General features: G+C 47.8%; 1 protein-coding gene across 15 annotated transcripts in view, besides 1 other annotated feature; it reads left to right on the top strand.

Moving 5' to 3' along the window:
- ZNF423 (zinc finger protein 423) overlaps positions 1–14,819 on the top strand; it is a 371,756-nt gene that overhangs the window by 258,135 nt on the left and 98,802 nt on the right. The gene's annotated exons all lie outside the window — the stretch shown is intronic.
- Positions 3,686–4,206: an enhancer, noted in NCBI's record as "H3K27ac-H3K4me1 hESC enhancer chr16:49630850-49631370 (GRCh37/hg19 assembly coordinates)". NCBI's record gives its function as "activates a minimal SCP1, AML or CMV promoter by ChIP-STARR-seq in naive H9 embryonic stem cells {active_cell/tissue: H9 hESC(naive)}" and the evidence as "EXISTENCE:reporter gene assay evidence [ECO:0000049][PMID:30033119]".

The raw sequence follows: 14,819 nt of genomic DNA, 5'->3' as shown, positions 1-14,819 counted from the left end.
CTTTTAGTCCGTCGTCAGCACATGGGCCCTTCCGAATCCTTGAATGCCTTGTCCAGTCTCAGACAAGGATTTTGTTCCAACCTCCAAATTCCCACCAATGTGGACTCCTGTGGAGTTGCAGAGATTAATAGTCCCCATTTTTTCTTTTTTCTCCTTCTTTATAAACATCATATCAGAGAAATTCTCCGATGATGCATCCACCCGAGAACCCCCTCAGTAAGGCAGCTGAGTGTTAAGGGGAAATTCGTGAAATGAAGTTTGGAGGCCGCCGGCCGGGCCGGAGCCCCTCCTGAGCGACGGTGATTTATTTCGGCAATGTGGTAGTCATTAGTATCTTTGGTGTCGGAGCCGGAGCACTCACTCCGGCCTGGGTCTGTGGCCGAGGGAGCCTTCGGGGCCATTACGAGCTAATGGCGCAGTGTGGGCAGAGGAGGGCTGCAGTCAATCTTGCCGCTGGCGGGTAATAAACGTCGGCCGGCTCCTTCCTGCTCCCCACGAGAGAGGGGAGGCCATGGCGCATGGTTCCCTGCTGGGCCTCATCTCCCCTGCTGTGGGGGCCCTTCCTGTCACTTTTTGCCATGGAAGACTGAGACCGAGAAGTTGCCCAGAATTGTGTCTATCTGACCCTGAGTTTAGAATTGTGAGGCTGGTTAGGGGACTCTTGTTTCTGCTGGCTTGGCTTTGGGGTGTCTTCCTGCAGGGCTGCACGAATTCATCGCATCCTGTGGGGAGAGCTGCCCGAGTGAGGGTCCTTGCTGCCTCCATAACTTGGGAGGATCTGCCCCCTTTTATTTTATTTTTTTAATTTTTATTTATTATTTTTTAGGGACAGAGTCTTGCTCTGTCGCCCAGGCTGGAGTGCTGTGGCGCGATCTCAGCTCACTGCACTGAGCTGAGATCCACCTCCTGGGTTCAAGCCGCTCTTCTGCCTCAGCCTCCTGAGTAGCTGGGATTACAGGCATGCACCACCATGTCTGGCTGATTTTTGTATTTTTGGTAGAGACAGGGTTTCACCATGTTGGCCAGGCTGGTCTCAAACTCCTGACCTCAAGTGCCTCAGCCTCCCAAAGTGCTGGGATTACAGGAGTGAGCCACCACGCCCGGCCTCTTGCCCCTTTTAATTGAGGCTTAACTTACATACAGTGAAGGGCTCAGATCTTATGGTATTGCGTGATACAGTTTTACAAGTGTGTACACCTGTGTAACCAGCACCCACATCAACAAATTGAGCACTTCCTCCTCACCGGTAATTTTCTTCAGGCTTCCTTCTAGCTGATACCCCTGTACCCCTACCAAAGGCAATCACTGTTCTGACGTCTTCCACGGTGGATGAGTTTTGCCTGTTTCTGAGTGTCATTTCTGTTGAATCGCCCCATGCATCCTGTGGTCCTTGTGTCTGGCTTCTTTGGCTCTACATTTAGTTGGTGAGATCCATCCGTGTTGTGTGTGTATCAGCAGTGTGTTCCTTTGTATTGCTGTGTGTTTGTTGCACTGTGTGAATATGGGAAAATGTGCATTTTACTGTTGCTGGGTGCTTGGGTTGTACCTGGATTTGGGCTGTTATTCACAGTGCTGCTAAGCCCATCTGTGTTCCATGTTGTCTATGAATCCTGGCTCTGGGGTCTTGGGATCCGGCTCTGCCACTCACTTGCTGTGTGACCTTCTGCAGGTTCCTTAACCTCTCTGAGTCTTGGTTTATACATTTGTGAAATGAGGGGATTAAGGAATCTATGGTCAAGTGCTCAGCACAGTCCCAGGGAACACTGAGGGACTGGAGCCTTTTACATCAATGAGCTTCACTTGGGCGCAGATTGTTGTATACTGATTGCAGTGGGGTGAGTGTGCAGGGTAGGTTTCCCTTGAGTTTTAAGGGCTGCCAAGTAACCTAGCCTTTTTCTTTGGAACATGGAAATTTGCCATTGCACAAGCCTAGATGGGTCTGTGTCTTTTCCCTCCCTTCTTTCTTGGTTTTTAATTTACTTCCAACCTGTAAGCGATTTCAAAGGCAGACAAGCATGTTGTGTGCATGTCTGTGTGTGTCTATGTGTGTGCACACACATGTGTACAGTTAGGGAGGGATTTCTGCTGAGCCCGGGGTGCCTGGTGTGAAGTGTGGCCTCCAACTCACAGTTCAGAAACTGGGGCTTTCTTCGAAACCATGTAGCCTTTCATTCCAGCCAATAGTCACCCCACTTTCAGGTGTTAAAGATAGTAAGTTGAGCATCCAGTTTTGAACCTACCAAAATGACATTTTCATGTGGTTCAGCCTAATACTTTCAGACCCTTTAGAAGCAACCATTTACAGTGCTGCAGTAGTTATAAACCATCTGCATCCAGTCCTAACATCACCCCCGACCACTTCAGTTTTTCCCTGGATATTTCCAAAAGCATGTGGAAGTGAAGCAGTGAGTTTCTTCAGCAGACAGCTCTTACCTTGGACTTTCAGGTGTCTCTGCACAGCCAGGATTGCAGGGCCAGGCCTGGGCCTTTTGGCGTGATGGCCTCCCTTGCTCAGTTTCCTGTACAGTGGAATGCCCTACCCAGTTTTGTCCCCAGTGCGCGTGCTCACCAGCCAGCTGGGGTCTGTCAGCAGCGAGGGCCCACAAATCTCCAGGCAGCCCCCTTTCTCCTCTACACAGGTTTTCACTCTGGCCTGACACCTGTTTCCCTTCACTGCTTCTGCCCCCAGGAATGATGCTCCAAGTGCCAGCTCTGGAATGACAAAAATGATAATGATGGTAAAAGGAATAAGAGCCACTGTTTATGCAGTGTGTGCTGTGGCCAGGCACCTTACGTGCATTATTGCAGTTTTCCCTCAAAGTTTTATAAAGTAGGAGTTATTGTTCCCATGTGACAGATGAGGAAATGGAGGCAAGGAGAGGTTCAGTAACACACCTAAGCTCTCACAGCTAGAAAGTTGCACAGCCTGGAGGTATAGTCAGGCTACCTAACTCTAAATGTGTCCTTCTCACCACTCCTGTCTTCTTTCTGGCTGTTTTCTTCAAATACACACATGTGAGGAGAAGTTGAGGAACAGTTTCCAGGAAGCAGATACTACCCAGGGAAGGAGGTTGTGTGTGATTGACAAGCTCTCCCCATGAGGACCTGTTCTGCATTGTGGGCAGGGGAGAGTAAGGGAGGGTGGGAGTCACCCAGGAGGCTGCCGTAGGGAGGGTTGAGCTATGTTTGGGTTTAGGAGAGGATGCGGGGAAGGTAGCTGTGATTACCAAATATTCCAGCCCTTTTTGACTGAGGAATGAACAAGGCCAGGGCTGTGGTCCTGCCCTCTTCATAATGGTATTTGTAAAGTCTGTGTTAAATGCAGAGAACCAATAGTAATATAATCTCTGAGTATTGTGCCCTCTTAGAGCTGTAGACTTGCAGATTGTTGGAATCACAGAATCCCAAACTCTGAGAACTGCAGAGCTCTAGAATCATAATGTTGGGGGCCTCCCATTTACACGGTACCTAAGAGAACGGCACCGACATGCATGGACACCAGGCAGGCTTGCACACGGCAGACTGGAGCATCCTCTACAGCAGGCTGTCCAAAGGAAATAGGATTCGAGCCACAAGTGCAATTTCAAATTTTCTACTAGCCACATTTAAAAAAAAATTAAAAGGAAACCGGTGAAATTAAAGAGTATACTTTTTGTTTAACCCAATATATCCAAAATATTATGATGGTACCATATAATCAACTTAAAAATTATGAATGAGACTTTTTTAACATTCTTTTATCGTACTAAACCTTAACAATATGGTGTGTATTTTGGACTGACAGCACGTCTCAGGGTAGACCCACCCCATTTCAGTTGCTCAGTAGTCACATGTGGCTAGTGGCAACTGGAGTAGATAGGATAGCTCTAGGTAGGAGACCCTCCTCCCCCAGGTTCCCACTGGGAGGTGCATTGTGAGGCCTGGGCTGTGGGCTGATCTTCCCCTGGCCAGAGGAGCAGGCTCTTGGGGAACATTGGCAGTGGCGTTACTCTTTTTGTGGTTTGGAAACAGACACTCCCAACTTGGAGTGCTCCAGCCATCTTGCCAGCTGCTCCTGTTCATCACAGCTGCTCCAGGGCTGACCTTCAGAGAGATCTCTCGATGCCCAGAGAGAGCTCTTAGGTGGTTGGATGGAGCCCGAAGCCCAAGCCGACCCAACAGGGCAGAGAGGAGCCACGTGGCCGAAACCCCAGGCATCCTTCTTGCTTCTGCCCCTTGCTGGAACAGAATGGCTGGGCTGTGCTTCCTGGCGTGTGGCCCTGCCATATTCCATCCCTGCCTGCCAATCCCTAGGGGGTGAAGAGGTGGGAGTGGGGAAGCACACAGCCCTGTGCCTGACATCCCCCTCCTCTGCACAGCATGCAAGGCCACCTTCCCGGGCTGATGCTGTGAAAGCGATTCTCTGTCTCTCTCCTGCAGCCACGGGGAGATAAAAGCCAGGGCTGTGGGGATGGTAGAGAGGGAGCCAAATTATATTTATAATATTAAAGTGAGTGCATTTGTGGCTTGCTGTTCTCCAGGGTTTTTCATAAGTAGAAAAACACAAATTAGCATTTTCCATTTCCATATATTGACTAGAAAAATCGCCTGCTCTCAATTAAGACCTATAGCTTTTGGGATGTATGCAACAATTTTATAAAATATTTACAGCAAGATTTGCATTTTACATGGTGTTACAGTTTTTCTTGTGTTTAGGAGTAAGGGCTGAGGCCTTCGAGAGGAAATACATTCTCTGGAATCGAGGGGGAAGGAAGCTGCGGGCTGTTGTTTTTCTTGCCTTCTCTATCTACTCCGGCTGTCCAGGGCTGACGTTGTCTCTGGTAATTACCTAAGGCTGATCCACCCCTGAGCTATTTGTTAGTCTGTTTTCAAAGCCCGTGCTCCTTTGACAAATCTATTACTTTCCCTTTAAAACTTGCCGGAATGGAGCTGTTTGCGGCTTTGTGCGAGATGAAGAAGAACATTTTTTTTTCCCAATGTAAAAGCATGCCGTAAAGAACATAGCTATTTCCTGGATAATTTGCAGTTGTATATTTTATGTTAATTTCACCGAAAATACTGCACCCCTGCCAGGTTTAGTAGTGGCTCACTGTGATATGAATAATTTCTAGTGAATCATTTTTTTTTCTTCATTTAAGATTTGGCACCTTTTTAAGATTTTAATAATAGCAACAAGGAGGAAGATTTAGAACAAGTGAAACATTAGTGCCAAAGAAATTCACGTTGAGCGCTAATGTAAAATAGCAAGAATAATTACATGGAAAGCAGTTTCCACAGATGTTTTTCCTTGTAATGTAATAACTATTTACTAAACTGTTTATTTTAGGCCTTTGGTTTATAATAAAATATTTATACATTCTCTGCTGTAATAAAAAAATATTGACAAAATACTATAGAGGTTTAAAAAGACAATTGATATTTTTATTTTCCAGGAAGCGAGCATGGTTTAAAAGTTTGGTGCTATTTTGGTGGATGTTTCAAGATTAGTGAATCTGGGTTTGGTTTTTGAGTTCATTTCTTAGTTTACTGTTTCAGAACTAACTGCACAGAAAAATTTTGTTAGCCTATCATTGGATGCAGGTACTGGTGGGCACTTTATTTTTTAAAATAGAATTCTTACCTGTGAATCCCTCCAGTTGAGTGCTAAATATGAGTTGCAGATCTCTCCCTATTAATCAGTCAGGCTAAGCTGGTCTGTGGCTGGGAAGGCAGGAAGATGCTAGTGAGTGCGCCTGGGAATTTAAGTTCAGGCAGGATCAGGGGCTGTTTGGAGGGCAGTTTAGCCCTGGGGTTTCTGGAAAGATTTGACCTTGATTTTCAGCCTCTGTCTGTAGCCACTGAAGTATGTCCAGGGACAATGTCCCAGTGTGGGTTTACCACATGTGAGCTCCATCTGGAGCTGGGAGTGGCAGGGAAACCCTAACTTCTTGAGCCCCTCTTTTGTACTGTCCTCATTGGGGAGGAAAACCAACAGGAGGGGACACAAGAGAGACCCCCCCACCCCCACCTCAGCAGCACTCCCTGCCCTCCCGCCTTTAGCTGTGACGCAGATCGTGCTGTTGGGGTCACCCGGGTGTTCAGGGTGAAAATGGCCAAGGTGGTGGGGTGGAGAGGAATTTAAGGACCAAAACAAGAAAGAGGATGCCAAGGAGTTCTGAAAGAGCCTGGCTGGGCCTTGTCTGTGTTTTGGGAGCAACTGACCAAGGTCCAGTTTTGTAAGAACCAGCCTCCTTCCGCCCTCTTGCTCTCCCAAGACATCTGCGTTGACAGCCCTGTGTGTGCCTGTCGTAGCTCCTGAGGGTATGTCTGTGAGCCTGAGTGGTGGCCTCTGTGTATCATGTTGTTCTTGCTGCTGTTGGCCGTGTGTGCTCTAATTTGTGTTATATTTGCGCCTGTCCATCTGCATCCCCGTGAGTTTGTTTCGAGTCTTCTGTTTATGGGTTTAGATGTCTTTGTGCCTGTGGGTGTTTTTTTGGGCTAACACATTGGATGCTTCTTTCTGTGCTTTGTGTTTGTCTTTGAGTGTGTTTGTGGTCTTATGTGTTTAATGCTTTGTATTTGGATCTGTGGGTTTATCTGTGTTTTTGTGTCTATCTTGGAGTGTATGTCTCTATATTCCTGTCTGTGTGTTGTGTGTATGTTGGGTGTGACAGTGAACCCCTCTTCTGTATGCCTGTGTTTTTCTGTTTGTGTCAGTATGCACTTGTGTGTGTGTGTCTGTGTGAGAGAGGTAAGCATTCCCTCTGTTGAGAGAGGCCTGGGGGCTTCCCAGCTTGGAGGCAGCTGGCTGTGTTACCGCAAGGGTGTGGCCATCTCTTTCCACCAAACTTTCTGATGGAAGGAGAGGAGAGAGGAGGCAGGGAAGAGATTCCAGAGGGGCCAGAGGGGATGGCGCATGGGAGGGAAGTGTGGAATTTTTAATAAAGAGAGAGACAACTGAACCAGGGTCTAACACCCTGCACAATCTGGAAGGGAACATTTACTGCTCTGGGTTCTTAATCCAGATATGTCCCCACTTCTGTTTACCCCCCAGCTGAAAGGCAGGCAGCTGGGGGGCTGAGGGGAGGGGATGGTTCTCAAGGACTCGCTTTGCACTGCTAGTTTTTGAGTTCTATCCTGACTTGGTCCATCCCCAGTAATCTAGGACAACATTTCCTCCTGTTCTCCTGCAGGGGACAGGAAGCTGCCTCTGGGGAACCTGCGGGTTCCATGGGGGGCCAGGAGGAGCCTCTTACAGATAGAGATTTCTGCTGCCTTCTGAGCCCCTGGCAGAGTTCTTGGTCTTCTCTTCAGTAGTGTGTTGCCTCCGCGGCCCCCTCTCCCCAACCTTGTGCTTTCCTAAATAAGCTTTACTCACTTTGCAAAGGAAGTGGATTTCTTCCAGGTCCCACACCAGCGGTGCTGGTCTTGGGGGCTTCTCGGAGATCTAAGGCCATTCTCCCTTCTCTGTGAGCAGGCTTGGGGCTTGGGTGTTTCATGTATACAGATGGAGAAACAAAGGCACGGAGGGCATATGGCTTGGTTGCAGGCAGAGAGTCAGGGTAGAGTTTGGAAGTTGACCTGTGGGAGGTGCTACAATCCCACCAGAAAGAGATCTCTGCAAACCCTGTCCGCCAGACTTCAGAGAGGGTTCTGGCGGGAGAGGCAGGGGTGAGACCTCTAAGGGACAAGAGTGAGGTCTGTGAATGGCAGAGAAATTTTTTTTTTTTTGAGACAAGGTCTTACTCTGTCACCCAGACTGGAGTGCAGTGGCATGATCATAGCTCACTGCAGCCTTGACCTCCCAGGCTCCAGCAATCCTTCCACCTCAGCCTCCTGAGTAGCTGGGACCACAGGCACGTGCCACCACCCCTGGCTAATTTTTAAATTTTTTTTGTAGAGACAGGATCTTGCTATGTTGCCCAGGCTGGTCTTGAACTCTTGGCTTCTTGTGATCCTCCCAAAGCACTGAGATTACAGGCATGAGCCACCACGCAGAGCCCAGAGGTTTGGCTCTTTGGGGTGGGGATGAGTTTGGGGTCAGAGCTGGATTGCTGTGGATAGCAGTCACCACCAGGGGTCCCCCTTCTCTTCACTCCCCCATACAACCTTTCCTCCAAATCCATCTTGATCAGGTATTTGAAGGATTTTGGTTTGGGGAGGGTGAGCTGATGACTGCACCTGGATGACTGACCCTTCTCCAGACCCACAACCGCACGAAAGCTGTCTCTCCACACCTTGCTAACATATCTTCTTCCCTGTTTATGGATGGCAGTGAGAAGTTGAGCCTGTGAATCTGGGCATCGCAGAGTGAAGACTGATCTGTTAGAAATGGATCTAAAATGAGCAAGGAGCATGTGGGGAGGGGAGGCGAGGGGATAGCCCTCAGGTCCGCCGGTTCTGGCAGAGGTGGGGGCATCACACACCTTTGCTGAGTGGGTTTGAGTTTCCTGCCTGCTTTGTCTTTTGTGTAACTATTCTCTGGTTGCACGTGGCTGACTCCCGGCTGGTGTGGGTGACGAGGATAGGCTTTACAGCGATGCCCTGGCACACAGAGCTGTCTTATTCACGTTTTGGTTCATGGCTTATGGCCCAGGCCAGGGAAAAAGAATTCACTCCTGCAAGTGACTTCTGCAAAAGAATTCTGTCACTGTGTTTTAGGGGAGCCTGCATTAAGAAGACTCTGGGGTCGAATAGGTCCCAAACTGCATTTTATGCTTTATTTGTTGAGTAGATGATGATGTGGTGGTTGTTATCAATTTTCCTAATTGGCTGTGTTCCTTATAATTTCAGCTGAACTGCCCCTCCTGTTTTTAAAAAAGCTGTGTTTTAAAAAACTCAAATAATACACTTTCCTTACAAGAAAAAAAATGCTGATAAACAGAAGAAAGAGATAGAAATCACCCTTAATCTCACCTCCCAGGGAAAACTGCTGTTAACAATTTGATGTTTACCTTTCCCAATTCTGTGTGTTCACACATGCATAGATACAGTTTTAAAAAGCATTTTGTTGTAGTTTGATATTTATACAGAAAAGTAGACATATCAATAAATAGAAATTAAAAGCAACTGCAAAAACCTCAATTACTTTTACACCAACCTAATGTAATAACCCTTTATTGATGCATTACATACAGAAAAGCTTACTTGTCATAAGCAGCAGATAGCTTGCTGAATTTTCCCAGACCAAACCCAGGTAAGCACTACATCATGACACAGTGTGACCCACACCCCAGAAGTTCACCTCCTGCACCTTCCTGTCCCAGCCCCCAGAGGACCACAACCCTGACTTCTAACAGCAAAGACAGTGGTGCCTGTTTTTTTTTCCTGTGTAGAAATGGAATCACTGCCTACTCTTTTGCATACTCATGTTTGGTTTCCAGCAGAGTTTTAATGTCTGTACTGTTTTTGCACACTTGTGTTTGGTTTCCAATGCAGTTTTAATGCCCATACTGTTTAGTTTCCAGTGGAGTTATAATGCACAGACTTTTGCACACTTGTGTTTGGTTTCCAGTGCAGTTATAATGCCCATACTATTTTTACACATTTGTGTTTAGTTTGCAGTGGACTTACAATGTCCATACTATTTTTGCACACTTGGCTTGGCTTCCAGTGGAGTTATAATGCCCTATTTTTGCACACTTGTGTTTAGTTGCAGTGGACTTATAATGCCCATACTATTTTAGCATACTTGGTTTGGTTTCCAGTGGAGTTATAAATGGCCATACTGTTTTTGCATATTTATGTTTAGTTTTCAGTAGACTTACAATGCCCATACTATTTTTGCACACTTGGCTTGGTTTCCAGTGGGGTTATAATGCCTATACTATTTTGCACACTTATGTTTAGTTTGTGGTGGACTTATAATACCCATACTGTTTTTGCACACTTGTTTGCTTCCCAGTGGAGTCATAATGCCCATACTATTTTTGTACACTTGGCTTGGTTTCCAGTGGAGTTACAATGCTCATCCTATTTTTGCACACTTGTGTTTAGTTTGCAGTGGACTTATACTGTCCGTACTATTTTAGCACACTTGGTTTGGTTTCCAGTGGAGTTACAATGCCCATATTATTTTGTAATCATTTCCCCCCAACAGTAGGCAGTGACAGTTTTCTGTGTCAGCACACATGTCTCTACATCATCATTTTTAGTGGCTGCTTGGTGTTCCATTATAAGAAGTGCCACAGTTTAAATTTCCCGTTGGAGCTTTTAGTAGTGTCACTATTAGAAACAACTCTCTATTGAACATCATCCTAACCAAATGGGTGACTTTCCCCTCCTTCTCTGGAGACAGAGTGGCCAGAGTGGTGGTGGGGGAAAGGCCCTCACCGGGCCGGCTGGAGCCCAGGTTGTGGTGTGAGGATGCTGGCATCGCTTCAGTTTGCCAGCTGGACCTCATCAAGTGCGGGTGTTAATTACTGGGAGGCCCCTGGTTCTGTGAGCAGGCGGGGGACGCTGGGGCTAACTCATGAAACAGGGTCACCTTGAAACAGACGCTTCCAGGGGAAGAGAAATCGAGGAGAAGACCAAGGGGAAGCACAGGGCTGGGGGAACGGCTTCCCACCAGCCTTGGCTAAGTCACCCTGGTGCCCTGGAGCTCCTGTATGGGATGTGCAGAGGCTCTCCCTGGCCCTGGGTGATAATGAGTGTGTGTCTTTATCCCTGCTTTTAATTGGGGTGAGCTGGGAGCAAGAATGCCCGTATCTGTGGCTTTCTCTTTTCCAGAAGACCCTTGCCCCCCGAAGCAGCCGTGATGCCTGCATGTCTTGAAAACGTGGCCGGTGTGAGTGCTGTGGCTTGGGTGTGAGCCGGGGCTGGGAATGGGGGACTGCCCGGCAGTGCCAAACGGGAGTCCAGCTGTGCAGCATGCCCGGGTCAGGAGGTGCTGCCCGCAGCCCCAGCCAGGTACGCTTAGGGCTGCAGGCGCAGCAGGGCCAGGTTGGAGGAGAATTAGGTTATTGCATTTCTTCTGTAATTCTTCATCAGGGCTGCTGCCTGGATCTGCTGCGGGAAAATCAATGTGTTCTGACTCCATAATTTCCCAGGTTGCCTTACTCCAAGTACCTTGCGCAGGGAAAGGTGACATCTCTGGTCACGTCTGTATGGACCAAATATATATATATATATATATATTCGCCACTTCCCCTTTACCCCATCCCATCTCCACCTCCCAGCACAAGACTCAAGACTCGTTGGAATTTCACAACCTTTGCATGCTTTTGTGAAAACACTCATTTGTGTTTGCGCCAGGCCGCTAATGGCGGACGCCAAGGTCTGCGGAGCCTACCTCTGTTCAGCTCTCGTTATGGCGAGGAATGTGCCGTTAATAATGCATCTATGGAACTCAGCTGTGTGGGAGCCAAGTAATTATCCCACTGTAGCGTTCCCGGCTTCAGTGTCATCACAACTGGGGCTTCATTAAAAGTCCTAACAGAGACGATGTTGTGTGCTGCAGCCTGTATATATATTTTTTCATTTAAATTATCAGCCTTGCTATGGCTCAGAGGTAATTTGACTTTTTGAAACCGCTGAGCCCCTGTGAATTCCCCTCCCCTTCTCCCTCTCGCTGCTCCACCAGCTGATCAGCCCCAGAAGAACAAAAGGTTTATCTGAAGCTATGAAGCATATATTCACCAGCTTCTGGCGTCTAGATAAAAAAAAAAATCAAAGTACTCCATTGAACATGTTAATACTGAGCAAAATGCACACAGCTAGACACTAAACCTTTACAGGGATTTGGGCATTTGAAAAGTGATACCCAGATCAGGTCTTGAGCTACGTTTCTTCGCCCAGAGTAGAGCGAGTAGCAGAGGAGGAAGAAATCATGTTTATAAACTAATATTAAAGACAGCAGATGGATGGCTCAAGAGTTCCTACCTTTTGTCTTATCTCTTTGTCTGATTTTGGTTGGGTAGGCAGTGGGAAAGCTTGGACAAGGGCACATCCTAGAGAGCTGGGTTTTCCCCTTTGTGATGGACTTTGACCTACTGAGACTGGAATGTGGAGTGGGAAGAGGGGTTTCAGTGACTCTTGGGGGAAATGCCAAGAATGGGGATGGTGGCTGTTGTCTTTGTTTCTCCTGATTTTCTGTGGCCCCTTCAGTTGTTGACAGAGGAGGGCTGCTGGGGAGGACCTCAGAGAGGGGCTGCATCCAAGCACATTGCTGCTGTGAGCAGTAGCTTCTTGGGGCCTCCTTGAAGTCATGCACTTCACAGCTCCTTCCAGTTCTGTTGGAGAGCAGCTGTCCGATAAAACTGGCAGAAGTGATCAAGTTGCATGCATGAATCATTCATCATGAGATAGCAGATAGGTGCTTGTTTGGCCATGTCTGCCACTGGTGGCGTAGTGGTAGCAGGCAGCACTTTCCCACTATTTTCCTATCAAATATTCTTGCTTGGCTTTGGATTGAGGTAGATATTTTAAAAGATATAGGATTTGTTGCTGCCCTCTAGAAGCTTTCAACATATTTGGGAGGCAGACATAGCTACCGTAAAACATCTCATGTTATAAACAGTTTAGGATTAAATGCTAGAGTCTGAGTTTTTGATGGGAAAGAGAATGTAGAGGATGGAATAGTCAGAAAAGGTTTAGAAGGATGTAGCCTGTTTGGGTACTGATGAGACCAGCTTGGGTGGAATTTAACCTGCTCATGAAGCCAAGAAAGTGCAGCATAATTTGCAACAGCTCATACCCAGATGGAGTGAAAGGGAGAAGAATCCAGTTTTCACTTGTGGGCCTCATGGGACCTGGTGAGAGCTCTGTCCTTTGGGGATGGGGCTTAGCCTCAGCGTATGTAAGGTCGGGAGCCAGCTGCCACCCCTCTGGACAGACGCCCCCAGTGTGCCCTGGGAGGAAGATGTTCATCTCATGCACTGAGTACAAACACATGGATGCCCATGGTCTTCTGGTTTCTGGCCCTGTTGGTTCAGGAGTTGACCCCCAGTACAACTTACTGAGGCAGCCTACTGCAGCAGGGAAGATTCACAGGGTCTCAGACTCTCCACCCTAGGCTTGGAATAGTTTTCCTCTCATGCCATCTGGTCTGTTTCTGCCAGCTCCATGCCAGGCTTTTTGCTGTTTGCTGGGGACCCTGAGCTAAGGCAAACACAGCTCCTATCCTAGAGGAATATCCAATCTGATGGGAGAGGTAGACACATAGATGTGCAAATTCCTAAGTAGTATGAATGGGTTAGGAAGTGATTGCCTGTCCTGGTTATGTGTGCGTGGGAATAGATATGTGAAGATAGGGGGTGGTCAGTGGAAGTTTGAAAGAGGAGAGGCATTTGAGTTGGGTCTCTAAAGTGATGAATAAGAGTTCACCAGAAGAAACAGTGAAAGATAATTCTTAGGTGATAAGTACAGCAAAAGTTAGAGGCATTGCAAAGAGCATGATGCTCTTTGAAATTCTTTTTGCTAGAGTCACCGGTGACTCCTGATTGTAGAAGTTGATGACTTTTATAGTCTTTCCAGGCCATTAGACCCTGTTGACTACTCCTTAGACACTCTTGTCCTCAGGCATGTCTGAAAACCCTCATCAATGGTGTCCAGCCCTAACTTCCTTCTCTCTCCTGTTCCACCCCAACAGCCAGCTGCCTGAAACTGTCTTCACCCTCTCCCACACCAGTGTCAAAGCCCCTTGTCTCAGTGCTTCTGACTCAGCAGCAGCTCCTAGATCAGCTCCTTCCACCTGTCCCCACAACCCCTACCCACATGTTTGTTGGACCCCCGATGTTCATAGCCTCACTCTTCCCACCTGCCAAGCCCCAGCTCTGATCCAGGTCTGTGGCACCTCAGGTTATTTTGCCAAAGAGGCTTCATCTGGATGCCTCGAACATTCGCCAAATGCAGGGTCAGTGGCACTTCATTCTTTTTGCTTTTGTTTGTCTAAAGCACAGGGACCGTTTCCAAGGCCTGTCTGTCATTGTCAGGGGCTCAGGAGCTCTGCAGAGGGAGAGAGATTCAGACCTAAAGGAACGCATGGGAAACTGGATATTGACCCTCAAGACGTTACACACCCTGGGACTTGGCCTCCCAAACTGAAAGCCTCCACCCATTTCTGGGAAAATCGGTCTTTCCCTCTCTTTGTGACAGCGAGTTTGTGCTTGTGTAAACCGTTGTGGAATCATTTTGGCTGTTAAGTCTTCACAGGGGCTACTTGTCCCTCATCAAAACCAACGAGACATTGTGCCTGGTGAAGTTACACCCACCAGGAATGAGGTTGCCCCTCCTCCAAGGCAGCTGGGGCTGGGGTTTCAGAAAACAAAGTGCCTTGGTGCTGTCCTCACCATTAAGGATTCCGAGGTGAACAAGAAAAATCAGCCAGGCTCATGTTGGCATCCGGGGACTGGCTCGGAGGTCCCAGCTCCCGGTTCTCCCTGGTTCGGAGTTGGAAAGAAAGAGGCGGAAGAAGTGTTTGAATACTGTGCTGTGAAGGGAACAGTCCTGCAGCGAGGCAGTTGTGATATTAGAGCAGACCTCCTAAGAGATCCCCTGGCTCTGAGCTGTGATCCACACGCCACATTCGCAGACAGCTGGTCGCCCAGCGTGGGCTGCGCCTGCCGCTCGGAGCTGGCACACTGGCGGGGACCAGGTAATGCTCTAATTTCCCTCGTGCAGATGCGGCCAGGAATATCTTAATTTATTGGTGTGCTGGCATGCAAGAGGGAATGCTGCCGGTGCAGCCTTGCATAACTATTAGCAAAAAATGGAGCTGATAGGGGCTTGACTCTTCCTAAAGTGGCTTTGAAATAATCATCGCCTTTTGTTGTGTTTGGAAGGGCTTGAACAATTCTTAATTATTTAATTATAGATATGCAAGTAATACACTGGGAATGGCC

This window comes from Homo sapiens, chromosome 16 (assembly GCF_000001405.40).
Source record: "Homo sapiens chromosome 16, GRCh38.p14 Primary Assembly".
NCBI lineage: Eukaryota > Metazoa > Chordata > Mammalia > Primates > Hominidae > Homo > Homo sapiens.
The sequence above is the reverse complement of the archived record's forward strand: the minus strand, read 5'-3'. Positions and strand labels throughout refer to the sequence as shown.